Raw genomic sequence first — 25,936 nt, 5'->3', positions numbered from 1 at the left:
TCTGTCTAGTTTGTATGTGAAGATATGCCTTTTACAACGTATTCTTCAAGGAGCTCCCAATATCCACAAGCAGATTCTACAGAAGCAGTGTTTCAAACCTGCTCTGTCAAAGGAAAGTTTCAACTCTGTGAATTGAACACACACATCACAAAGCAGTTTCTAAGAATGCTTCTGTCTAGTTTTTAAGAGAAGATAATCCTTTTTCCACCATAGGCAACAAATCTCTCCAAATGAACACTACCAGGTTCTACAAAAAGTGTGTTTCAACACTGCTCTAACAAAAGTAAGGATCAAGACGTTGAGTTAAATGCACACATCACAAAGCAGTTTCTGAGAAAGCTTCTGTCTAGTTTTTATTTGAAGGTACTTCCTTTTCCTTCTTAGACCTCAAATCTCTCCAAATATCCACTTGCAGATACTACAAAAAGACTGTTTCAAAACCGCTCTCTCAAAAGGAAGGTTCAACTCTGTGAGTTGAATGCACATATTACAAAGCAGTTCCTGAGAATGCTTCTGTCTATTTTTTAGGTGAAGATATCACTTTTTCCAACATAGGCCACAAAGCATTTGAAATGAACACTTGCAGATTCTACAAAATGTTTGTTTCAACACTGCTGTATCAAAAGAAAGGTTCAACAATGTGAATTGAACACACCCATCACAAAGGAGTTTCTGAGAATGCTTCTGTCTAGTTTTTATGTGAAGATATTTCTTTTTCCAACATAGGCAACAAAGCACTCCAAAGAACACTTGTAGATTATACAAAAAGTGTGTTTCAACACTGCTCTACCTAAAGGAAGTTTCAAGTCTGTGACTTAAATGCACACATCACAAAGCAGTTTCTGAGAATGCTTCTGTCTAGTTTGTATGTGAAGATATTTCATTTATCACCATACTCCACAAATCGCTCCAAATATCCACTTGCAAATACTACAAAAAGACTGTTTCAAAACTTCTCTCTCAAAAGGAAGGTTCAACTCTGTGAGTTGAATGCACACATCACAAGGCAGTTTCTGAAAATGCTTCCGTCTAGTTTTTTATTTGAAGGTATTTCCTTTTCCTTCTTCGGCCTCAAATCACTGCAAATATCCACTTGCAGATACTTCAAAAAGACTGTTTCAAAACCGCTCTCTCAAAAGGAAGGTTCAACACTGTGAGTTGAATGCACATGTTACAAAGCAGTTTCTGGAATGCTTCTGTCTATTTTTCAGGTGAAGATATCACTTTTTCCAGCATACGCACAAAAGAACTCGAAATGGACACTTGCAGATTCTACAAAAAGTATGTTTCAACACTGCTCTATCAAAAGAAAGGTTCAACGATGTGAATTGAACACACACTTCACAGAGGAGTTTCAGAGAATGCTTCTGTCTAGTTTTTAAGTGAAGATATTCCTTTTTCCCACATAGGCAACAAAGCGCTCCAAATGAATACTTGTGGATTCTACAAAAACTGTGTTTCAACACTGCTCTATCAAAAGAAAGTTTCAAGTCTGTGAGTTGAACGCACACATCACAAAGGACCTTCTGAGAATGCTTGGGTCTACTTTTCATGTGAAGATACCCGTTTCCAACGAATAACTCAAAGAGTTCCAAATATACACAATCAGATACTACAAAAGGAGTGTTTCACTCCTCCTCTGTCAAAAGACAGTTTCAACTCTGTTAGTTGAATGCACACATCCCAATGAAGTTCCTGAGAAGGCTTCTGCCTAGTTTTTTGTGAAGATAGTCCCTTTTCCACCATGGGCTTCAAAGCGCTCCAAATGAAAACTTGCAGGTCCTACCAAAAGACTGATTCAAAACTGCTCTATCAAAAGAACGGTTCCACTCTGTTAGGTGAATGCACACATCACAAGAAGTTTCTGAGAATGCTTCTGTTTAGTTTGTATGTGAAGATATTTCCTTTTCCATCATAGTACTCGAATCGCTCCAAGTATCCACCTGCAGACATTACAAAAAGACTGTTTCAAAACTGCTCTCTCAAAAGGAAGGTTCAACTCTGTGAGTTGAGTGCACACATCACAATGGAGTTTCTGAGAATACTTCTGTCTACTTTGTATGTGAAGGTATTTCCTTTTCCACCTGAGGCCCCAAGTCACTACAAATATCCACTTGCAGATACTACAAAAAGACTGTTTCAAAACCTCCCTCTCCAAAGGAAAGTTCAAATCTGTCGGTTGAATGCACACATCACAAAGCAGTTTCTGAGAATGCTTCTGTCTAGTTTGTATGTGAAGATATTTCCTTTTCCATCATAGGCCTCAAATCGCTCCAAATATCCACTTGCAGATACTACAAAAGACCGTTTCAACACTGCTCTCTCAAAAGGAAGGTTCAACTCTGTGGGTTGAATGCACACATCACAAAGCAGTTTCTGAGAATGCTTCTGTCTAGTTTGTATGTGAAGATATTTCCTTTTCCATCATAGGCCTCAAATCGCTCCAAATATCCACTTGAAGATACTACAAAAAGACTGTTTCAACACTGCTCTCTCAAATGGAAGGTTCAACTCTGTGAGTTGAATGCACACATCACAAAGCAGTTTCTGAGAATGCTTCTGTCTAGTTTGTATGTGAAGATATGCCTTTTACAACGTATTCCTCAAGGAGCTCCCAATATCCACAAGCAGATTCTACAGAAGCAGTGTTTCAAACCTGCTCTGTCAAAGGAAAGTTTCAACTCTGTGAATTGAACACACACATCACAAAGCAGTTTCTAAGAATGCTTCTGTCTAGTTTTTAAGAGAAGATAATCCTTTTTCCACCATAGGCAACAAATCTCTCCAAATGAACACTACCAGGTTCTACAAAAAGTGTGTTTCAACACTGCTCTAACAAGAGTAAGGATCAAGACTTTGAGTTAAATGCACACATCACAAAGCTGTTTCTGAGAAAGCTTCTGTCTAGTTTTTATTTGAAGGTACTTCCTTTTCCTTCTTAGACCTCAAATCGCTCCAAATATCCACTTGCAGATACTACAAAAAGACTGTTTCAAAACCGCTCTCTCAAAAGGAAGGTTCAACTCTGTGAGTTGAATGCACATATTACAAAGCAGTTCCTGAGAATGCCTCTGTCTATTTTTTAGGTGAAGATATCACTTTTTCCAACATAGGCCGCAAAGCATTTGAAATGAACCCTTGCAGATTCTACAAAATGTTTGTTTCAACACTGCTGTATCAAAAGAAAGGTTCAACAATGTGAATTGAACAAACCCATTACAAAGGAGTTTCTGAGAATGCTTCTGTCTAGTTTTTATGTGAAGATATTTCTTTTTCCAACATAGGCAACAAAGCACTCCAAAGAACACTTGTAGATTATACAAAAAGTGTGTTTCAACACTGCTCTACCTAAAGGAAGTTTCAAGTCTGTGACTTAAATGCACACATCACAAAGCAGTTTCTGACAATGCTTCTGTCTAGTTTGTATGTGAAGATATTTCATTTTCCACCATACTCCACAAATCGCTCCAAATATCCACTTGCAAATACTACAAAAAGACTGTTTCAAAACTTCTCTCTCAAAAGGAAGGTTCAACTCTGTGAGTTGAATGCACACATCACAAGGCAGTTTCTGAAAATGCTTCCGTCTAGTTTTTTATTTGAAGGTATTTCCTTTTCCTTCTTCGGCCTCAAATCACTGCAAATATCCACTTGCAGATACTACAAAAAGACTGTTTCAAAACCGCTCTCTCAAAAGGAAGGTTCAACACTGTGAGTTGAATGCACATGTTACAAAGCAGTTTCTGGAATGCTTCTGTCTATTTTTCAGTTGAAGATATCACTTTTTCCAACATACGCACAAAAGAACTCGAAATGGACACTTGCAGATTCTACAAAAAGTATGTTTCAACACTGCTCCATCAAAAGAAAGGTTCAACGATGTGAATTGAACACACACTTCACAGAGGAGTTTCAGAGAATGCTTCTGTCTAGTTTTTAAGTGAAGATATTACTTTTTCCCACATAGGCAACAAAGCGCTCCAAATGAATACTTGTGGATTCTACAAAAAGTGTGTTTCAACACTGCTCTATCAAAAGAAAGTTTCAAGTCTCTGAGTTGAACGCACACATCACAAAGGACCTTCTGAGAATGCTTGGGTCTACTTTTTAGGTGAAGATACCCGTTTCCAACGAATAACTCAAAGAGTTCCAAATATACACAATCAGATACTACAAAAGGAGTGTTTCATTCCTCCTCTGTCAAAAGACAGTTTCAACTCTGTTAGTTGAATGCACACATCTCAATGAAGTTCCTGAGAAGGCTTCTGCTTAGTTTTTTGTGAAGATAGTCCCTTTTCCACCATGGGCTTCAAAGCGCTCCAAATAAAAACTTGCAGGTCCTACCAAAAGACTGATTCAAAACTGCTCTATCAAAAGAACGGTTCCACTCTGTTAGGTGAATGCACACATCACAAGAAGTTTCTGAGAATGCTTCTGTTTAGTTTGTATGTGAAGATATTTCCTTTTCCATCATACTACACGAATCGCTCCAAATATCCACCTGCAGACGTTACAAAAAGACTGTTTCAAAACTGCTCTCTCAAAAGGAAGGTTCAACTCTGTGAGTTGAGTGCACACATCGCAATGGAGGTTCTGAGAATACTTCTGTCTACTTTGTATGTGAAGGTATTTCCTTTTCCACCAGAGGCCCCAAGTCACTACAAATATCCACTTGCAGATACTACTAAAAGACTGTTTCAAAACCTCCCTCTCCAAAGGAAAGTTCAAATCTGTCGGTTGAATGCACACATCACAAAGCAGTTTCTGAGAATGCTTCTGTCTAGTTTGTATGTGAAGATATTTCCTTTTCCATCCTAGGCCTCAAATCGCTCCAAATATCCACTTGCAGATACTAAAAAAGACCGTTTCAACACTGCTCTCTCACAAGGAAGGTTCAACTCTGTGGGTTGAATGCAAACATCACGAAGCAGTTTCTGAGAATGCTTCTGTCTAGTTTGTATGTGAAGACATTTCCTTTTCCATCATAGGCCTCAAATCGCTCCACATTTCCACTTGAAGATACTACAAAAAGACTGTTTCAACACTACTCTCTCAAATGGAAGGTTCAACTCTGTGAGTTGAATGCACACATCACAAAGCAGTTTCTGAGAATGCTTCTGTTTAGTTTGTATGTGAAGATATGCCTTTTACAACGTATTCCTCAAGGAGCTCCCAATATCCACAAGCAGATTCTACAGAAGCAGTGTTTCAAACCTGCTCTGTCAAAGGAAAGTTTCAACTCTGTGAATTGAACACACACATCACAAAGCAGTTTCTAAGAATGCTTCTCTCTAGTTTTTAAGAGAAGATAATCCTTTTTCCACCATAGGCAACAAATCTCTCCAAATGAACACTAGCAGTTTCTACCAAAAGTGTGTTTCAACACTGCTCTATCAAAAGAAAGGATCAAGACTTTGAGTTAAATGCACACATCACAAAGCAGTTTCTGAGAAAGCTTCTGTCTAGTTTTTATTTGAAGGTATTTCCTTTTCCTTCTTAGACCTCAAATCGCTCCCAATATCCACTTGCAGGTACTACAAAAAGACTGTTTCAAAACCGCTCTCTCAAAAGGAAGGTTCAACTCTGTGAGTTGAATGCACATATTACAAAGCAGTTCCTGAGAATGCTTCTGTCTATTTTTTAGGTGAAGATATCACTTTTTCCAACATGGCCACAAAGCATTTGAAATGAACACTTGCAGATTCTACAAAATGTTTGTTTCAACACTGCTGTATCAAAAGCAATGTTCAACAATGTGAATTGAACACACCCATCACAAAGGAGTTTCTGAGAATGCTTCTGTCTAGTTTTTATGTGAAGATATTTCTTTTTCCAACATAGGCAACAAAGCACTCCAAAGAACACTTGTAGATTATACAAAAAGTGTGTTTCAACACTGCTCTACCTAAAGGAAGTTTCAAGTCTGTGACTTAAATGCACACATCACAAAGCAGTTTCTGAGAATGCTTCTGTCTAGTTTGTATGTGAAGATATTTCATTTTCCACCACACTCCACAAATCGCTCCAAATATCCACTTGCAAATACTACAAAAAGACTGTTTCAAAACTTCTCTCTCAAAAGGAAGGTTCAACTCTGTGAGTTGAATGCACACATCACAAGGCAGTTTCTGAAAATGTTTCCGTCTAGTTTTTTATTTGAAGGTATTTCCTTTTCCTTCTTCGGCCTCAAATCACTGCAAATATCCACTTGCAGATACTACAAAAAGACTGTTTCAAAACCGCTCTCTCAAAAGGAAGGTTCAACACTGTGAGTTGAATGCACATGTTACAAAGCAGTTTCTGGAATGCTTCTGTCTATTTTTCAGGTGAAGATATCACTTTTTCCAACATACGCACAAAAGAACTCGAAATGGACACTTGCAGATTCTACAAAAAGTATGTTTCAACACTGCTCTATCAAAAGAAAGGTTCAACGATGTGAATTGAACACACACTTCACAGAGGAGTTTCAGAGAATGCTTCTGTCTAGTTTTTAAGTGAAGATATTCCTTTTTCCCACATAGGCAACAAAACGCTCCAAACGAATACTTGTGGATTCTACAAAAAGTGTGTTTCAACACTGCTCTATCAAAAGAAAGTTTCAAGTCTGTGAGTTGAACGCACACATCACAAAGAACCTTCTGAGAATGCTTGGGTCTACTTTTTATGTGAAGATACCCGTTTCCAACGAATAACTCAAAGAGTTCCAAATACACACAATCAGATACTACAAAAGGAGTGTTTCATTCCTGCTCTGTCAAAAGACAGTTTCAACTCTGTTAGTTGAATGCACACATCTCAGTGAAGTTCCTGAGAAGGCTTCTGCCTAGTTTTTTGTGAAGATAGTCCCTTTTCCACCATGGGCTTCAAAGCGCTCCAAATGAAAACTTGCAGGTCCTACCAAAAGACTGATTCAAAACTGCTCTATCAAAAGAACGGTTCCACTCTGTTAGGTGAATGCACACATCACAAGAAGTTTCTGAGAATGCTTCTGTTTAGTTTGTATGTGAAGATATTTCCTTTTCCATCATACTACACGAATCGCTCCAAATATCCACCTGCAGACGTTACAAAAAGACTGTTTCAAAACTGCTCTCTCAAAAGGAAGGTTCAACTCTGTGAGTTGAGTGCACACATCGCAATGGAGGTTCTGAGAATACTTCTGTCTAGTTTGTACGTGAAGGTATTTCCTTTTCCATCTTAGGCCCCAAATCACTACAAATATCCACTTGCAGATACTACAAAAAGTCTGTTTCAAAACCTCTCTCTCAAAAGGAAAGTTCAAATCTGTGAGTTGAATGCACACATCACAAAGCAGTTCCTGAGACTGCTTCTGTCTAGTTTGTATGTGAAGATATTTCCTTTTCCATCATAGGCTTCAAATCGCTCCAAATATCCACTTGCAGATACTACAAAAGACCGTTTCAACACTGCTCTCTCAAAAGGAAGGTTCAACTCTGTGGGTTGAATGCACACATCACAAAGCAGTTTCTGAGAATGCTTCTGTCCAATTTTTATGTGAAGATATTCCCTTTTCCATCATAGGCCTCAAGTCGCTACAAATATCCACTTGCAGACATTACAAAAAGACTGTTTCAAAACTGCTCTCTCAAAAGGAAGGTTCAACTCTGTGAGTTGAGTGCACACATCACAATGGAGTTTCTGAGAATACTTCTGTCTAGTTTGTATGTGAAGATATGCCTTTTACAACGTATTCCTCAAGGAGCTCCCAATATCCACAACCAGATTCTACAGAAGCAGTGTTTCAAACCTGCTCTGTCAAAGGAAAGTTTCAACTCTGTGAATTGAACACACACATCACAAAGCAGTTTCTAAGAATGCTTCTGACTAGTTTTTAAGAGAAGATAATCCTTTTTCCACCATAGGCATCAAATCTCTCCAAATGAACACTACCAGGTTCTACAAAAAGTGTGTTTCAACACTGCTCTAACAAAAGTAAGGATCAAGACTTTGAGTTAAATGCACACATCACAAAGCAGTTTCTGAGAAAGCTTCTGTCTAGTTTTTATTTGAAGGTACTTCCTTTTCCTTCTTAGACCTCAAATCGCTCCAAATATCCACTTGCAGATACTACAAAAAGACTGTTTCAAAACCGCTCTCTCAAAAGGAAGGTTCAACTCTGTGAGTTGAATGCACATATTACAAAGCAGTTCCTGAGAATGCTTCTGTCTATTTTTTAGGTGAAGATATCACTTTTTCCAACATAGGCCACAAAGCATTTGAAATGAACCCTTGCAGATTCTACAAAATGTTTGTTTCAACACTGCTGTATCAAAAGAAAGGTTCAACAATGTGAATTGAACAAACCCATTACAAAGGAGTTTCTGAGAATGCTTCTGTCTAGTTTTTATGTGAAGATATTTCTTTTTCCAACATAGGCAACAAAGCACTCCAAAGAACACTTGTAGATTATACAAAAAGTGTGTTTCAACACTGCTCTACCTAAAGGAAGTTTCAAGTCTGTGACTTAAATGCACACATCACAAAGCAGTTTCTGAGAATGCTTCTGTCTAGTTTGTATGTGAAGATATTTCATTTTCCACCATACTCCACAAATCGCTCCAAATATCCACTTGCAAATACTACAAAAAGACTGTTTCAAAACTTCTCTCTCAAAAGGAAGGTTCAACTCTGTGAGTTGAATGCACACATCACAAGGCAGTTTCTGAAAATGCTTCCGTCTAGTTTTTTATTTGAAGGTATTTCCTTTCCTTCTTCGGCCTCAAATCACTGCAAATATCCACTTGCAGATACTACAAAAAGACTGTTTCAAAACCGCTCTCTCAAAAGGAAGGTTCAACACTGTGAGTTGAATGCACATGTTACAAAGCAGTTTCTGGAATGCTTCTGTCTATTTTTCAGGTGAAGATATCACTTTTTCCAACATACGCACAAAAGAACTCGAAATGGACACTTGCAGATTCTACAAAAAGTATGTTTCAACACTGCTCCATCAAAAGAAAGGTTCAACGATGTGAATTGAACACACACTTCACAGAGGAGTTTCAGAGAATGCTTATCTGTCTAGTTTTTAAGTGAAGATATTCCTTTTTCCCACATAGGCAACAAAGCGCTCCAAATGAATACTTGTGGATTCTACAAAAACTGTGTTTCAACACTGCTCTATCAAAAGAAAGTTTCAAGTCTGTGAGTTGAACGCACACATCACAAAGGACCTTCTGAGAATGCTTGGGTCTACTTTTTATGTGAAGATACCCGTTTCCAACTAATAACTCAAAGAGTTCCAAATATACACAATCAGATACTACAAAAGGACTCTTTCATTCCTCCTCTGTCAAAAGACAGTTTCAACTCTGTTGGTTGAATGCACACATCTCAATGAAATTCCTGAGAAGGTTTCTGCCTAGTTTTTTGTGAAGATAGTCCCTTTTCCACCATGGGCTTCAAAGCGCTCCAAATGAAAACTTGCAGGTCCTACCAAAAGACTGATTCAAAACTGCTCTATCAAAAGAACGGTTCCACTCTGTTAGGTGAATGCACACATCACAAGAAGTTTCTGAGAATGCTTCTGTTTAGTTTGTATGTGAAGATATTTCCTTTTCCATCATAGTACTCGAATCGCTCCAAATATCCACTTGCAGACATTACAAAAAGACTGTTTCAAAACTGCTCTCTCAAAAGGAAGGTTCAACTCTGTGAGTTGAGTGCACACTTCACAATGGAGTTTCTGAGAATACTTCTGTCTACTTTGTATGTGAAGGTATTTCCTTTTCCATCTGAGGCCCCAAGTCACTACAAATATCCACTTGCAGATACTACAAAAAGACTGTTTCAAAACCTCCCTCTCAAAAGGAAAGTTCAAATCTGTGAGTTGAATGCACACATCACAAAGCAGTTCCTGAGACTGCTTCTGTCTAGTTTGTATGTGAAGATATTTCCTTTTCCATCATAGGCCTCAAATCGCTCCAAATATCCACTTGCAGATACTACAAAAGACCGTTTCAACACTGCTCTCTCAAAAGGAAGGTTCAACTCTGTGGGTTGAATGCACACATCACAAAGCAGTTTCTGAGAATGCTTCTGTCTAGTTTGTATGTGAAGATATTTCCTTTTCCATCATAGGTCTCAAATCGCTCCAAATATCCACTTGCAGATACTACAAAAAGACTGTTTCGACACTGCTCTCTCAAATGGAAGGTTCAACTCTGTGAGTTGAATGCACACATCACAACGGAGTTTCTGAGAATGCTTCTGTCTAGTTTGAATGTGAAGATATGCCTTTTACAACGTATTCCTCAAGGAGCTCCCAATATCCACAAGCAGATTCTACAGAAGCAGTGTTTCAAACCTGCTCTGTCAAAGGAAAGTTTCAACTCTGTGAATTGAACACACACATCACAAAGCAGTTTCTAAGAATGCTTCTGTCTAGTTTTTAAGAGAAGATAATCCTTTTTCCACCATAGGCAACAAATCTCTCCAAATGAACACTACCAGGTTCTACAAAAAGTGTGTTTCAACACTGCTCTAACAAAAGTAAGGATCAAGACTTTGAGTTAAATGCACACATCACAAAGCAGTTTCTGAGAAAGCTTCTGTCTAGTTTTTATTTGAAGGTACTTCCTTTTCCTTCTTAGACCTCAAATCGCTCCAAATATCCACTTGCAGATACTACAAAAAGACTGTTTCAAAACCGCTCTCTCAAAAGGAAGGTTCAACTCTGTGAGTTGAATGCACATATTACAAAGCAGTTCCTGAGAATGCTTCTGTCTATTTTTTAGGTGAAGATAACACTTTTTCCAACAAAGGCCTCAAAGCATTTGAAATGAACACTTGCAGATTCTACAAAATGTTTGTTTCAACACTGCTGTATCAAAAGAAAGGTTCAACAATGTGAATTGAACACACCCATCACAAAGGAGTTTCTGAGAATGCTTCTGTCTAGTTTTTATGTGAAGATATTTCTTTTTCCAACATAGGCAACAAAGCACTCCAAAGAACACTTGTAGATTATACAAAAAGTGTGTTTCAACACTGCTCTACCTAAAGGAAGTTTCAAGTCTGTGACTTAAATGCACACATCACAAAGCAGTTTCTGAGAATGCTTCTGTCTAGTTTGTATGTGGAGATATTTCATTTTCCACCATACTCCACAAATCGCTCCAAATATCCACTTGCAAATACTACAAAAAGACTGTTTCAAAACTTCTCTCTCAAAAGGAAGGTTCAACTCTGTGAGTTGAATGCACACATCACAAGGAAGTTTCTGAAAATGCTTCTGTCTAGTTTTTTATTTGAAGGTATTTCCTTTTCCTTCTTCGGCCTCAAATCACTGCAAATATCCACTTGCAGATACTACAAAAAGACTGTTTCAAAACCGCTCTCTCAAAAGGAAGGTTCAACACTGTGAGTTGAATGCACATGTTGCAAAGCAGTTTCTGGAATGCTTCTGTCTATTTTTCAGGTGAAGATATCACTTTTTCCAACATACGCACAAAAGAACTCGAAATGGACACTTGCAGATTCTACAAAAAGTATGTTTCAACACTGCTCTATCAAAAGAAAGGTTCAACGATGTGAATTGAACACACATTTCACAGAGGAGTTTCAGAGAATGCTTCTGTCTAGTTTTTAAGTGAAGATATTCCTTTTTCCCACATAGGCAACAAAGCGCTCCAAATGAATACTTGCGGTTTCTACAAAACGTGTGTTTCAACACTGCTCTATCAAAAGAAAGATTAAAGTCTGTGAGTTGAACGCACACATCACAAAGAACCTTCTGAGAATGCTTGGGTCTACTTTTTATGTGAAGATACCTGTTTCCAACGAATAACTCAAAGAGTTCCAAATATACACAATCAGATACTACAAAAGGAGTGTTTCATTCCTCCTCTGTCAAAAGACAGTTTCAACTCTGTTAGTTGAATGCACACATCCACATCTCAATGAAGTTCCTGAGAAGGCTTCTGCCTAGTTTTTTGTGAAGATAGTCCCTTTTCCACCATGGGCTTCAAAGCGCTCCAAATGAAAACTTGCAGGTCCTACCAAAAGACTGATTCAAAACTGCTCTATCAAAAGAACGGTTCCACTCTGTTAGGTGAATGCACACATCACAAGAAGTTTCTGAGAATGCTTCTGTTTAGTTTGTATGTGAAGATATTTCCTTTTCCATCATACTACTCGAATCGCTCCAAATATCCACATGCAGACGTTACAAAAAGACTGTTTCAAAACTGCTCTCTCAAAAGGAAGGTTCAACTCTGTGAGTTGAGTGCACACATCACAATGGAGTTTCTGAGAATACTTCGGTCTACTTTGTATGTGAAGGTATTTCCTTTTCTACCTGAGGCCCCAAGTCACTACAAATATCCACTTGCAGATACTACAAAAAGACTGTTTCAAAACCTCCCTCTCAAAAGGAAAGTTCAAATCTGTCGGTTGAATGCACACATCACAAAGCAGTTTCTGAGAATGCTTCTGTCTAGTTTGTATGTGAAGATATTTCCTTTTCCATCCTAGGCCTCAAATCGCTCCAAATATCCACTTGCAGATACTACAAAAGACCGTTTCAACACTGCTCTCTCAAAAGGAAGGTTCAACTCTGTGGGTTGAATGCACACATCACAAAGCAGTTTCTGAGATTGCTTCTGTCTACTTTGTATGTGAAGATATTTCCTTTTCCATCATAGGCCTCAAATCGCTCCAAATATCCACTTGAAGATACTACAAAAAGACTGTTTCAACACTGCTCTCTCAAATGGAAGGTTCAACTCTGTGAGTTGAATGCACACATCACAAAGCAGTTTCTGAGAATGCTTCTGTCTAGTTTGTATGTGAAGGTATCCCGTTTGCAACAAATTCCTCAGAGAGCTCCAAATATCCACAAACAATTTCTACAAAAGCCGTTTTTCAAAATTGCTCCATCAAAAGAAAGGTTCAACTCTGTGAATTGAACAGACACATCACAAAGGTGTTTCTGAGAATGATTCTGTCTAGTTTTTAAGAGAAGATAATCATTTTTCCACCATAGGCAACAAATCTCTCCAAATGAACACTACCAGGTTCTACAAAAAGTGTGTTTCAACACTGCTCTAACAAAAGTAAGGATCAAGACTTTGAGTTAAATGCACACATCACAAAGCAGTTTCTGAGAAAGCTTCTGTCTAGTTTTTATTTGAAGGTACTTCCTTTTCCTTCTTAGACCTCAAATCGCTCCAAATATCGACTTGCAGATACTACAAAAAGACTGTTTCAAAACCGCTCTCTCAAAAGGAAGGTTCAACTCTGTGAGTTGAATGCACACATCACAAAGCAGTTCCTGAGAATGCTTCTGTCTATTTTTTAGGTGAAGATATCACTTTTTCCAACATAGGCCACAAAGCATTTGAAATGAGCACTTGCAGATTCTACAAAATGTTTGTTTCAACACTGCTGTATCAAAAGAAAGGTTCAACAATGTGAATTGAACAAACCCATCACAAAGGAGTTTCTGAGAATGCTTCTGTCTAGTTTTTATGTGAAGATATTTCTTTTTCCAACATAGGCAACAAAGCACTCCAAAGAACACTTGTAGATTATACAAAAAGTGTGTTTCAACACTGCTCTACCTAAAGGAAGTTTCAAGTCTGTGACTTAAATGCACACATCACAAAGCAGTTTCTGAGAATGCTTCTGTCTAGTTTGTATGTGAAGATATTTCATTTTCCACCATACTCCACAAATCGCTCCAAATATCCACTTGCAAATACTACAAAAAGACTGTTTCAAAACTTCTCTCTCAAAAGGAAGGTTCAACTCTGTGAGTTGAATGCACACATCACAAGGCAGTTTCTGAAAATGCTTCCGTCTAGTTTTTTATTTGAAGGTATTTCCTTTTCCTTCTTCGGCCTCAAATCACTGCAAATATCCACTTGCAGATACTACAAAAAGACTGTTTCAAAACCGCTCTCTCAAAAGGAACGTTCAACACTGTGAGTTGAATGCAGATGTTACAAAGCAGTTTACTGGAATGCTTCTGTCTATTTTCCAGGTGAAGATATCACTTTTTCCAACATACGCACAAAAGAACTTGAAATGGACACTTGCAGATTCTACAAAAAGTATGTTTCAACACTGCTCTATCAAAAGAAAGGCTCAACGATGTGAATTGGACACACACTTCACAGAGGAGTTTCAGAGAATGCTTCTGTCTAGTTTTGAAGTGAAGATATTACTTTTTCCCACATAGGCAACAAAGCGCTCCAAATGAATACTTGTGGAATCTTCAAAAAGTGTGTTTCAACACAGCTCTATCAAAAGAAAGTTTCAAGTCTGTGAGTTGAACGCACACATCACAAAGAACCTTCTGAGAATGCTTGGGTCTACTTTTTATGTGAAGATACCCGTTTCCAAAGAATAACTCAAAGAGTTCCAAATATACACAATCAGATACTACAAAAGGAGTGTTTCACTCCTGCTCTGTCAAAAGATAGTTTCAACTCTGTTAGTTGAATGCACACATCTCAATGAAGTTCCTGAGAAGGCTTCTGCCTAGTTTTTTGTGAAGATAGTCCCTTTTCCACCATGGGCTTCAAAGCGCTCCAAATGAAAACTTGCAGGTCCTACCAAAAGACTGATTCAAAACTGCTCTATCAAAAGAACGGTTCCACTCGGTTAGGTGAATGCACACATCACAAGAAGTTTCTGAGAATGCTTCTGTTTAGTTTGTATGTGAAGATATTTCCTTTTCCATCATACTACACGAATCGCTCCAAATATCCACCTGCAGACGTTACAAAAAGACTGTTTCAAAACTGCTCTCTCAAAAGGAAGGTTCAACTCTGTGAGTTGAGTGCACACATCACAATGGAGTTTCTGAGAATACTTCTGTCTACTTTGTATGTGAAGGTATTTCCTTTTCCACCTGAGGCCCCAAGTCACTACAAATATCCACTTGCAGATACTACAAAAAGACTGTTTCAAAACCTCCCTCTCCAAAGGAAAGTTCAAATCTGTCGGCTGAATGCACACATCACAAAGCAGTTTCTGAGAATGCTTCTGTCTAGTTTGTATGTGAAGATATTTCCTTTTCCATCATAGGCCTCAAATCGCTCCAAATATCCACTTGCAGATACTACAAAAGACCGTTTCAACACTGCTCTCTCAACAGGAAGGTTCAACTCTGTGGGTTGAATGCACACATCACAAAGCAGTTTCTGAGAATGCTTCTGTCTAGTTTGTATGTGAAGATATTTCCTTTTCCATCATAGGCCTCAAATCGCTCCAAATATCCACTTGCAGATACTACAAAAAGACTGTTTCAACACTGCTCTCTCAAATGGAAGGTTCAACTCTCTGAGTTGAAGGCACACATCACAACGGAGTTTCTGAGAATGCTTCTGTCTAGTTTGTATGTGAAGATATGCCTTTTACAACGTATTCCTCAAAGAGCTCCAAATATCCACAAGCAGATTCTACAAAAGCAGTGTTTCAAAACTGCTCTATCAAAGGAAAGTTTCAACTCTGTGAATTGAGCACACACATTCCAAAGCAGTTTCTAAGAATGCTTCTCTCTAGTTTTTAAGAGAAGATAATCCTTTTTCCACCATAGGCAACAAATCTCTCCAAATGAACACTAGCAGATTCTACAAAAAGTGTGTTTCAACACTGCTCTATCAAAAGAAAGGATCAAGACTTTGAGTTAAATGCACACATCACAAAGAAGTTTCTGAGAAAGCTTCTGTCTAGTTTTTATTTGAAGGTATTTCCTTTTCCTTCTTAGACCTCAAATCACTCCCAATATCCACTTGCAGATACTACAAAAAGACTGTTTCAAAACCGCTCTCTCAAAAGGAAGGTTCACCTCTGTGAGTTGAATGCACATATTACAAAGCAGTTCCTGAGAATGCTTCTGTCTATTTTTTAGGTGAAGATATCACTTTTTCCAACATAGGCCACAAAGCATTTGAAATGAACACTTGCAGATTCTACAAAATGTTTGATTCAACACTGCTGTATCAAAAGAAAGGTTCAACAATGTGAATTGAACACACCCATCACAAAGGAGTTTCTGAGAATGCTTCTGTCTAGTTTTTATGTGAAGATATTTCTTTTTCCAACATAGGCAACAAAGCACTCCAAAGAACACTTGTAGATTATACAAAAAGTGTGTTTCAACACTGCTCTACCTAAAGGAAGTTTCAAGTCTGTGACTTAAATGCACACATCACAAAGCAGTTTCTGACAATGCTTCTGTCTAGTTTGTATGTGAAGATATTTCATTTTCCACCATACTCCACAAATCGCTCCAAATATCCACTTGCAAATACTACAAAAAGACTGTTTCAAAACTGCTCTCTCAAAAGGAAGGTTCAACTCTGTGAGTTGAGTGCACACATCACAATGGAGTTTCTGAGAATACTTCAGTCTATTTTTTTATTTGAAGGTATTTCCTTTTCCTTCTTTGGCCTCTAATCACTGCAAATATCCACTTGCAGATACTACAAAAAGACTGTTTCAAAACCGCTCTATCAAAAGGAACGTTCAACACTGTGAGTTGAATGCACATGTTACAACGCAGTTTCTGGAATGCTTCTGTCTATTTTTCAGGTGAAGATATCACTTTTTCCAACATACGCACAAAAGAACTCGAAATGGACACTTAAAGATTCTACAAAAAGTATGTTTCAACACTGCTCTATCAAAAGAAAGGTTCAACGATGTGAATTGAACACACACTTCACAGAGGAGTTTCAGAGAATGCTTCTGTCTAGTTTTTAAGTGAAGATATTACTTTTTCCCACATAGGCAACAAAGCGCTCCAAACGAATACTTGTGGATTCTACAAAAAGTGTGTTTCAACACTGCTCTATCAAAAGAAAGTTTCAAGTCTGTGAGTTGAACGCACACATCACAAAGAACCTTCTGAGAATGCTTGGGTCTACTTTTTATGTGAAGATACCCGTTTCCAACGAATAACTCAAAGAGTTCCAAATATACACAATCAGATACTACAAAAGGAGTGTTTCATTCCTCCTCTGTCAAAAGACAGTTTCAACTCTGTTAGTTGAATGCACACATCTCAATGAAGTTCCTGAGAAGGCTTCTGCCTAGTTTTTTGTGAAGATAGTGCCTTTTCCACCATGGGCGTCAAAGCGCTCCAAATGAAAACTTGCAGGTCCTACCAAAAGACTGATTCAAAACTGCTCTATCAAAAGAACGGTTCCACTCTTTTAGGTGAATACACACATCACAACAAGTTTCTGAGAATGCTTCTGTTTAGTTTGTATGTGAAGATATTTCCTTTTCCATCATAGTACTCGAATCGCTCCAAATATCCACCTGCAGACATTACAAAAAGACTGTTTCAAAACTGCTCTCTCAAAAGGAAGGTTCAACTCTGTGAGTTGAGTGCACACATCACAATGGAGTTTCTGAGAATACTTCTGGTCTACTTTGTATGTGAAGGTATTTCCTTTTCCACCTGAGGCCCCAAGTCACTACAAATATCCACTTGCAGATACTACAAAAAGACTGTTTCAAAACCTCCCTCTCCAAAGGAAAGTTCAAATCTGTCGGTTGAATGCACACATCACAAAGCAGTTTCTGAGAATGCTTCTGTCTAGTTTGTATGTGAAGATATTTCCTTTTCCATCATAGGCTTCAAATCGCTCCAAATATCCACTTGCAGATACTACAAAAGACCGTTTCAACACTGCTCTCTCAAAAGGAAGGTTCAACTCTGTGGGTTGAATGCACACATCACAAAAAAGTTTCTGAGAATGCTTCTGTCTAGTTTGTATGTGAAGATATTTCCTTTTCCATCATAGGCCTCAAATCGCTCCAAATATCCACTTGAAGATACTACAAAAAGACCGTTTCAACACTGCTCTCTCAAATGGAAGGTTCACCTCTGTGAGTTGAATGCACACATCACAAAGCAGTTTCTGAGAATGCTTCTGTTTAGTTTGTATGTGAGGATATGCCTTTTACAATGTATTCCTCAAGGAGCTCCCAATATCCACAAGCAGATTCTACAGAAGCAGTGTTTCAAACCTGCTCTGTCAAAGGAAAGTTTCAACTCTGTGAATTGAACACACACATCACAAAGCAGTTTCTAAGAATGCTTCTGTCTAGTTTTTAAGAGAAGATAATCCTTTTTCCACCATAGGCAACAAATCTCTCCAAATGAACACTACCAGGTTCTACAAAAAGTGTGTTTCAACACTGCTCTAACAAAAGTAAGGATCAAGACTTTGAGTTAAATGCACACATCACAAAGCAGTTTCTGAGAAAGCTTCTGTCTAGTTTTTATTTGAAGGTATTTCCTTTTCCTTCTTAGACCTCAAATCGCTCCAAATATCCACTTGCAGATACTACAAAAAGACTCTTTCAAAACCGCTCTCTCAAAAGGAAGGTTCAACTCTGTGAGTTGAATGCACATATTACAAAGCAGTTCCTGAGAATGCTTCTGTCTATTTTTTAGGTGAAGATATCACTTTTTCCAACATAGGCCACAAAGCATTTGAAATGAACACTTGCAGATTCTACAAAATGTTTGTTTCAACACTGCTGTATCAAAAGCAAGGTTCAACAATGTGAATTGAACACACCCATCACAAAGGAGTTTCTGAGAATGCTTCTGTCTAGTTGTTATGTGAAGATATTTCTTTTTCCATCATAGGCAACAAAGCACTCCAAAGAACACTTGTAGATTATACAAAAAGTGTGTTTCAACACTGCTCTATCTAAAGGAAGTTTCAAGTCCGTGAGTTAAATGCACACATCACAAAGTAGTTTCTGAGAATGCTTCTGTCTAGTTTGTATGTGAAGATATTTCATTTATCACCATACTCCACAAATCGCTCCAAATATCCACTTGCAAATACTACAAAAAGACTGTTTCAAAACTTCTCTCTCAAAAGGAAGGTTCAACTCTGTGAGTTGAATGCACACATCACAAGGCAGTTTCTGAAAATGCTTCCGTCTAGTTTTTTATTTGAAGGTATTTCCTTTTCCTTCTTCGGCCTCAAATCACTGCAAATATCCACTTGCAGATACTACAAAAAGACTGTTTCAAAACCGCTCTCTCAAAAGGAAGGTTCAACACTGTGAGTTGAATGCACATGTTACAAAGCAGTTTCTGGAATGCTTCTGTCTATTTTTCAGGTGAAGATATCACTTTTTCCAACATACGCACAAAAGAACTCGAAATGGACACTTGCAGATTCTACAAAAAGTATGTTTCAACACTGCTCCATCAAAAGAAAGGTTCAACGATGTGAATTGAACACACACTTCACAGAGGAGTTTCAGAGAATGCTTCTGTCTAGTTTTTAAGTGAAGATATTCCTTTTTCCCACACAGGCAACAAAGCGCTCCAAACGAATACTTGTGGATTCTACAAAAAGTGTGTTTCAACACTGCTCTATCAAAAGAAAGTTTCAAGTCTGTGAGTTGAACGCACACATCACAAAGAACCTTCTGAGAATGCTTGGGTCTACTTTTTATGTGAAGATACCCGTTTCCAACGAATAACTCAAAGAGTTCCAAATACACACAATCAGATACTACAAAAGGAGTGTTTCATTCCTCCTCTGTCAAAAGACAGTTTCAACTCTGTTAGTTGAATGCACACATCTCAATGAAGTTCCTGAGAAGGCTTCTGCCTAGTTTTTTGTGAAGATAGTCCCTTTTCCACCATGGGCTTCAAAGCGCTCCAAATGAAAACTTGCAGGTCCAACCAAAAGACCGATTCAAAACTGCTCTATCAAAAGAACGGTTCCACTCTGTTAGGTGAACGCACACATCACAAGAAGTTTCTGAGAATGCTTCTGTTTAGTTTGTATGTGAAGATATTTCCTTTTCCATCATACTACTCGAATCGCTCCAAATATCCACCTGCAGACGTTACAAAAAGACTGTTTCAAAACTGCTCTCTCAAAAGGAAGGTTCAACTCTGTGAGTTGAGTGCACACATCACAATGGAGTTTCTGAGAATACTTCTGTCTAGTTTGTATGTGAAGGTATTTCCTTTTCCATCTGAGGCCCCAAGTCACTACAAATATCCACTTGCAGATACTACAAAAAGACTGTTTCAAAACCTCCCTCTCCAAAGGAAAGTTCAAATCTGTCGGTTGAATGCACACATCACAAAGCAGTTTCTGAGAATGCTTCTGTCTACTTTGCATGTGAAGATATTTCCTTTTCCATCATAGGCCTCAAATCGCTCCAAATATCCACTTGCAGATACTACAAAAGACCGTTTCAACACTGCTCTCTCAAAAGGAAGGTTCAACTCTGTGGGTTGAATGCACACATCACAAAGCAGTTTCTGAGAATGCTTCTGTCTAGTTTGTATGTGAAGATATTTCCTTTTCCATCATAGGCCTCAAATCGCTCCAAATATCCACTTGCAGATACTACAAAAAGACTGTTTCAACACTGCTCTCTCAAATGGAAGGTTCAACTCTGTGAGTTGAATGCACACATCACAAAGCAGTTTCTGAGAATGCTTCTGTCTAGTTTGTATGTGAAGATATGCCTTTTACAACGTATTCCTCAAGGAGCTCCCAATATCCACAAGCAGATTCTACAAAAGCAGTGTTTCAAACCTGCTCTATCAAAGGAAAGTTTCAACTCTGTGAATTGAACACACACATCACAAAGCAGTTTCTAAGAATGCTTCTGTCTAGTTTTTAAGAGAAGATAATCCTTTTTCCACCATAGGCAACAAATCTCTCCAAATGAACACTACCAGGTTCTACAAAAAGTGTGTTTCAACACTGCTCTAACAAAAGTAAGGATCAAGACTTTGAGTTAAATGCACACATCACAAAGCAGTTTCTGAGAAAGCTTCTGTCTAGTTTTTATTTGAAGGTACTTCCTTTTCCTTCTTAGACCTCAAATCGCTCCAAATATCCACTTGCAGATACTACAAAAAGACTGTTTCAAAACCGCTCTCTCAAAAGGAAGGTTCAACTCTGTGAGTTGAATGCACATATTACAAAGCAGTTCCTGAGAATGCTTCTGTTTATTTTTTAGGTGAAGGTATCTCTTTTTCCAACATAGGCCACAAAGCATTTGAAATGAGCACTTGCAGATTCTACAAAATGTTTGTTTCAACACTGCTGTATCAAAAGAAAGGTTCAACAATGTGAATTGAACAAACCCATCACAAAGGAGTTTCTGTGAATGCTTCTGTCTAGTTTCTATGTGAAGATATTTCTTTTTCAACGTAGCCAACAAAGCACTCCAAAGAACACTTGTAGATTATACAAAAAGTGTGTTTCAACACTGCTCTACCTAAAGGAAGTTTCAAGTCTGTGACTTAAATGCACACATCACAAAGCAGTTTCTGACAATGCTTCTGTCTAGTTTGTATGTGAAGATATTTCATTTTCCACCATACTCCACAAATCGCTCCAAATATCCACTTGCAAATACTACAAAAAGACTGTTTCAAAACTTCTCTCTCAAAAGGAAGGTTCAACTCTGTGAGTTGAATGCACACATCACAAGGCAGTTTCTGAAAATGCTTCCGTCTAGTTTTTTTATTGAAAGTATTTCCTTTTCCTTCTTCGGCCTCAAATCACTGCAAATATCCACTTGCAGATACTACAAAAAGACTGTTTCAAAACCGCTCTCTCAAAAGGAAGGTTCAACACTGTGAGTTGAATGCACATGTTACAAAGCAGTTTCTGGAATGCTTCTGTCTATTTTTCAGGTGAAGATATCACTTTTTCCAACATACGCACAAAAGAACTCGAAATGGACACTTGCAGATTCTACAAAAAGTATGTTTCAACACTGCTCTATCAAAAGAAAAGTTCAACGATGTGAATTGAACACACACTTCACAGAGGAGTTTCAGAGAATGTTTCTGTCTAGTTTTGAAGTGAAGATATTCCTTTTTCCCACATAGGCAACAAAGCGCTCCAAACGAATACTTGTGGATTCTACAAAAAGTGTGTTTCAACACTGCTCTATCAAAAGAAAGTTTCAAGTCTGTGAGTTGAACGCACACATCACAAAGAACCTTCTGAGAATGCTTGGGTCTACTTTTTATGTGAAGATACCCGTTTCCAACGAATAACTCAAAGAGTTCCAAATACACACAATCAGATACTACAAAAGGAGTGTTTCATTCCTCCTCTGTCAAAAGACAGTTTCAACTCTGTTAGTTGAATGCACACATCTCAATGAAGTTCCTGAGAAGGCTTCTGCCTAGTTTTTTGTGAAGATAGTCCCTTTTCCACCATGGGCTTCAAAGCGCTCCAAATGAAAACTTGCAGGTCCTACCAAAAGACTGATTCAAAACGGCTCTATCAAAAGAACGGTTCCACTCTGTTAGGTGAACGCACACATCACAAGAAGTTTCTGAGAATGCTTCTGTTTAGTTTGTATGTGAAGATATTTCCTTTTCCATCATACTACACGAATCGCTCCAAATATCCACCTGCAGACGTTAAAAAAAGACTGTTTCAAAACTGCTCTCTCAAAAGGAAGGTTCAACTCTGTGAGTTGAGTGCACACATCACAATGGAGTTTCTGAGAATACTTCTGTCTACTTTGTATGTGAAGGTATTTCCTTTTCCACCTGAGGCCCCAAGTCACTACAAATATCCACTTGCAGATACTACAAAAAGACTGTTTCAAAACCTCCCTCTCCAAAGGAAAGTTCAAATCTGTCGGTTGAATGCACACATCACAAAGCAGTTTCTGAGAATGCTTCTGTCTAGTTTGTATGTGAAGATATTTCCTTTTCCATCATAGGCCTCAAATCGCTCCAAATATCCACTTGCAGATACTACAAAAGACCGTTTCAACACTGCTCTCTCAAAAGGAAGGTTCAACTCTGTGGGTTGAATGCACACATCACAAAGCAGTTTCTGAGAATGCTTCTGTCTAGTTTGTATGTGAAGATATTTCCTTTTCCATCATAGGCCTCAAATCGCTCCAAATATCCAATTGAAGATACTACAAAAAGACCGTTTCCACACTGCTCTCTCAAATGGAAGGTTCAACTCTGTGAGTTGAATGCGCACATCACAAAGCAGTTTCTGAGAATGCTTCTGTCTAGTTTGTATGTGAAGATATGCCTTTTACAACGTATTCCTCAAGTAGCTCCCAATATCCACAAGCAGATTCTACAGAAGCAGTGTTTCAAACCTGCTCTGTCAAAGGAAAGTTTCAACTCTGTGAATTGAACACACACATCACAAAGCAGTTTCTAAGAATGCTTCTGTCTAGTTTTTAAGAGAAGATAATCCTTTTTCCACCATAGGCAACAAATCTCTCCCAATGAACACTACCAGGTTCTACAAAAAGTGTGTTTCAACACTGCTCTAACAAAAGTAAGGATCAAGACTTTGAGTTAAATGCACACATCACAAAGCAGTTTCTGAGAAAGCTTCTGTCTAGTTTTTATTTGAAGGTACTTCCTTTTCCTTCTTAGACCTCAAATCGCTCCAAATATCCACTTGCAGATACTACAAAAAGACTGTTTCAAAACCGCTCTCTCAAAGGGAAGGTTCAACTCTCTGAGTTGAATGCACATATTACAAAGCAGTTCCTGAGAATGCTTCTGTCTATTTTTTAGGAGAACATATCACTTTTTCCAACATAGGCCACAAAGCATTTGAAATGAACACTTGCAGATTCTACAAAATGTTTGTTTCAACACTGCTGTATCAAAAGAAAGGTTCAACAATGTGAATTGAACACACCCATCACAAAGGAGTTTCTGAGAATGCTTCTGTCTAGTTTTTATGTGAAGATATTTCTTTTTCCAACATAGGCAACAAAGCACTCCAAAGAACACTTGTAGATTATACAAAAAGTGTGTTTCAACACTGCTCTACCTAAAGGAAGTTTCAAGTCTGTGACTTAAATGCACACATCACAAAGCAGTTTCTGAGAATGCTTCTGTCTAGTTTGTATGTGAAGATATTTCATTTTCCACCATACTCCACAAATCGCTCCAAATATCCACTTGCAAATACTACAAAAAGACTGTTTCAAAACTTCTCTCTCAAAAGGAAGGTTCAACTCTGTGAGCTGAATGCACACATCACAAGGCAGTTTCTGAAAATGCTTCCGTCTAGTTTTTTGTTTGAAGGTGTTTCCTTTTCCTTCTTCGGCCTCAAATCACTGCAAATATCCACTTGCAGATACTACAAAAAGACTGTTTCAAAACCGCTCTCTCAAAAGGAAGGTTCAACACTGTGAGTTGAATGCACATGTTACAAAGCAGTTTCTGGAATGCTTCTGTCTATTTTTCAGGTGAAGATATCACTTTTTCCAACATACGCACAAAAGAACTCGAAATGGACACTTGCAGATTCTACAAAAAGTATGTTTGAACACTGCTCCATCAAAAGAAAGGTTCAACGATGTGAATTGAACACACACTTCACAGAGGAGTTTCAGAGAATGCTTCTGTCTAGTTTTTAAGTGAAGATATTCCTTTTTCCCACATAGGCAACAAAGCGCTCCAAATGAATACTTGCGGTTTCTACAAAACGTGTGTTTCAACACTGCTCTATCAAAAGAAAGTTTCAAGTCTGTGAGTTGAACGCACACATCACAAAGAACCTTCTGAGAATGCTTGGGTCTACTTTTTATGTGAAGATACCCGTTTCCAACGAATAACTCAAAGAGTTCCAAATATACACAATCAGATACTACAAAAGGAGTGTTTCATTCCTCCTCTGTCAAAAGACAGTTTCAACTCTGTTAGTTGAATGCACACATCTCAATGAAGTTCCTGAGAAGGCTTCTGCCTAGTTTTTTGTGAAGATAGTCCCTTTTCCACCATGGGCTTCAAAGCGCTCCAAATGAAAACTTGCAGGTCCTACCAAAAGACTGATTCAAAACTGCTCTATCAAAAGAACGGTTCCACTCTGTTAGGTGAATGCACACATCACAAGAAGTTTCTGAGAATGCTTCTGTTTAGTTTGTATGTGAAGATATTTCCTTTTCCATCATACTACACGAATCGCTCCAAATATCCACCTGCAGACGTTACAAAAAGACTGTTTCAAAACTGCTCTCTCAAAAGGAAGGTTCAACTCTGTGAGTTGAGTGCACACATCACAATGGAGTTTCTGAGATATTCTCTGTCTAGTTTGTATGTGAAGGTATTTCCTTTTCCATCTGAGGCCCCAAGTCACCACAAATATCCACTTGCAGATACTACAAAAAGACTGTTTCAAAACCTCCCCTTCAAAAGGAAAGTTCAAATCTGTCGGTTGAATGCACACATCACAAAGCAGTTTCTGAGAATGCTTCTGTCTAGTTTGTATGTGAAGATATTTCCTTTTCCATCATAGGCCTCAAATCGCTCCAAATATCCACTTGCAGATACTACAAAAGACCATTTCAACACTGCTCTCTCAAAAGGAAGGTTCAACTCTGTGGGTTGAATGCACACATCACAAAGCAGTTTCTGAGAATGCTTCTGTCTAGTTTTTATGTGAAGATATTTCCTTTTCATTCACAGGCCTCAAATCGCTCCAAATATCCACTGGCAGATACTCCAAAAAGACTGTTTCAAAACTGCTCTCTCAAAAGGAAGGTTCAACTGTGTGAGTGGAATGCACACATCACAAAGCAGTTTCTGAGAATGCTTCTGTCTAGTTTGTATGTGAAGATATGCCTTTTACAACGTATTCCTCAAGGAGCTCCCAATATCCACAAGCAGATTCTACAGAAGCAGTGTTTCAAACCTGCTCTGTCAAAGAAAGTTTCAACTCTGTGAATTGAACACACACATCACAAAGCAGTTTCTAAGAATGCTTCTGTCTAGTTTTTAAGAGAAGATAATCATTTTTCCACCATAGGCAACAAATCTCTCCAAATGAACACTACCAGGTTCTACAAAAAGTGTGTTTCAACACTGCTCTAACAAAAGTAAGGATCAAGACTTTGAGTTAAATGCACACATCACAAAGCAGTTTCTGAGAAAGCTTCTGTCTAG

The 25,936-nt window shown here is 38.2% G+C and overlaps 1 annotated feature.

Annotated features, from left to right (window-relative positions):
• Nucleotides 1-25,936: part of a centromere (Linear centromere model derived predominantly from reads generated in PMID: 17803354. This region does not represent an actual centromere sequence, as long-range ordering of repeats and unmapped WGS contigs is not provided by the model. For details of model production, see http://arxiv.org/abs/1307.0035.) that runs on past both edges of the window.

The sequence above is a fragment of the Homo sapiens genome, chromosome 5 (assembly GCF_000001405.40).
Source record: "Homo sapiens chromosome 5, GRCh38.p14 Primary Assembly".
Classification (NCBI taxonomy): Eukaryota; Metazoa; Chordata; class Mammalia; order Primates; family Hominidae; genus Homo; species Homo sapiens.
The sequence above is the reverse complement of the archived record's forward strand: the minus strand, read 5'-3'. Positions and strand labels throughout refer to the sequence as shown.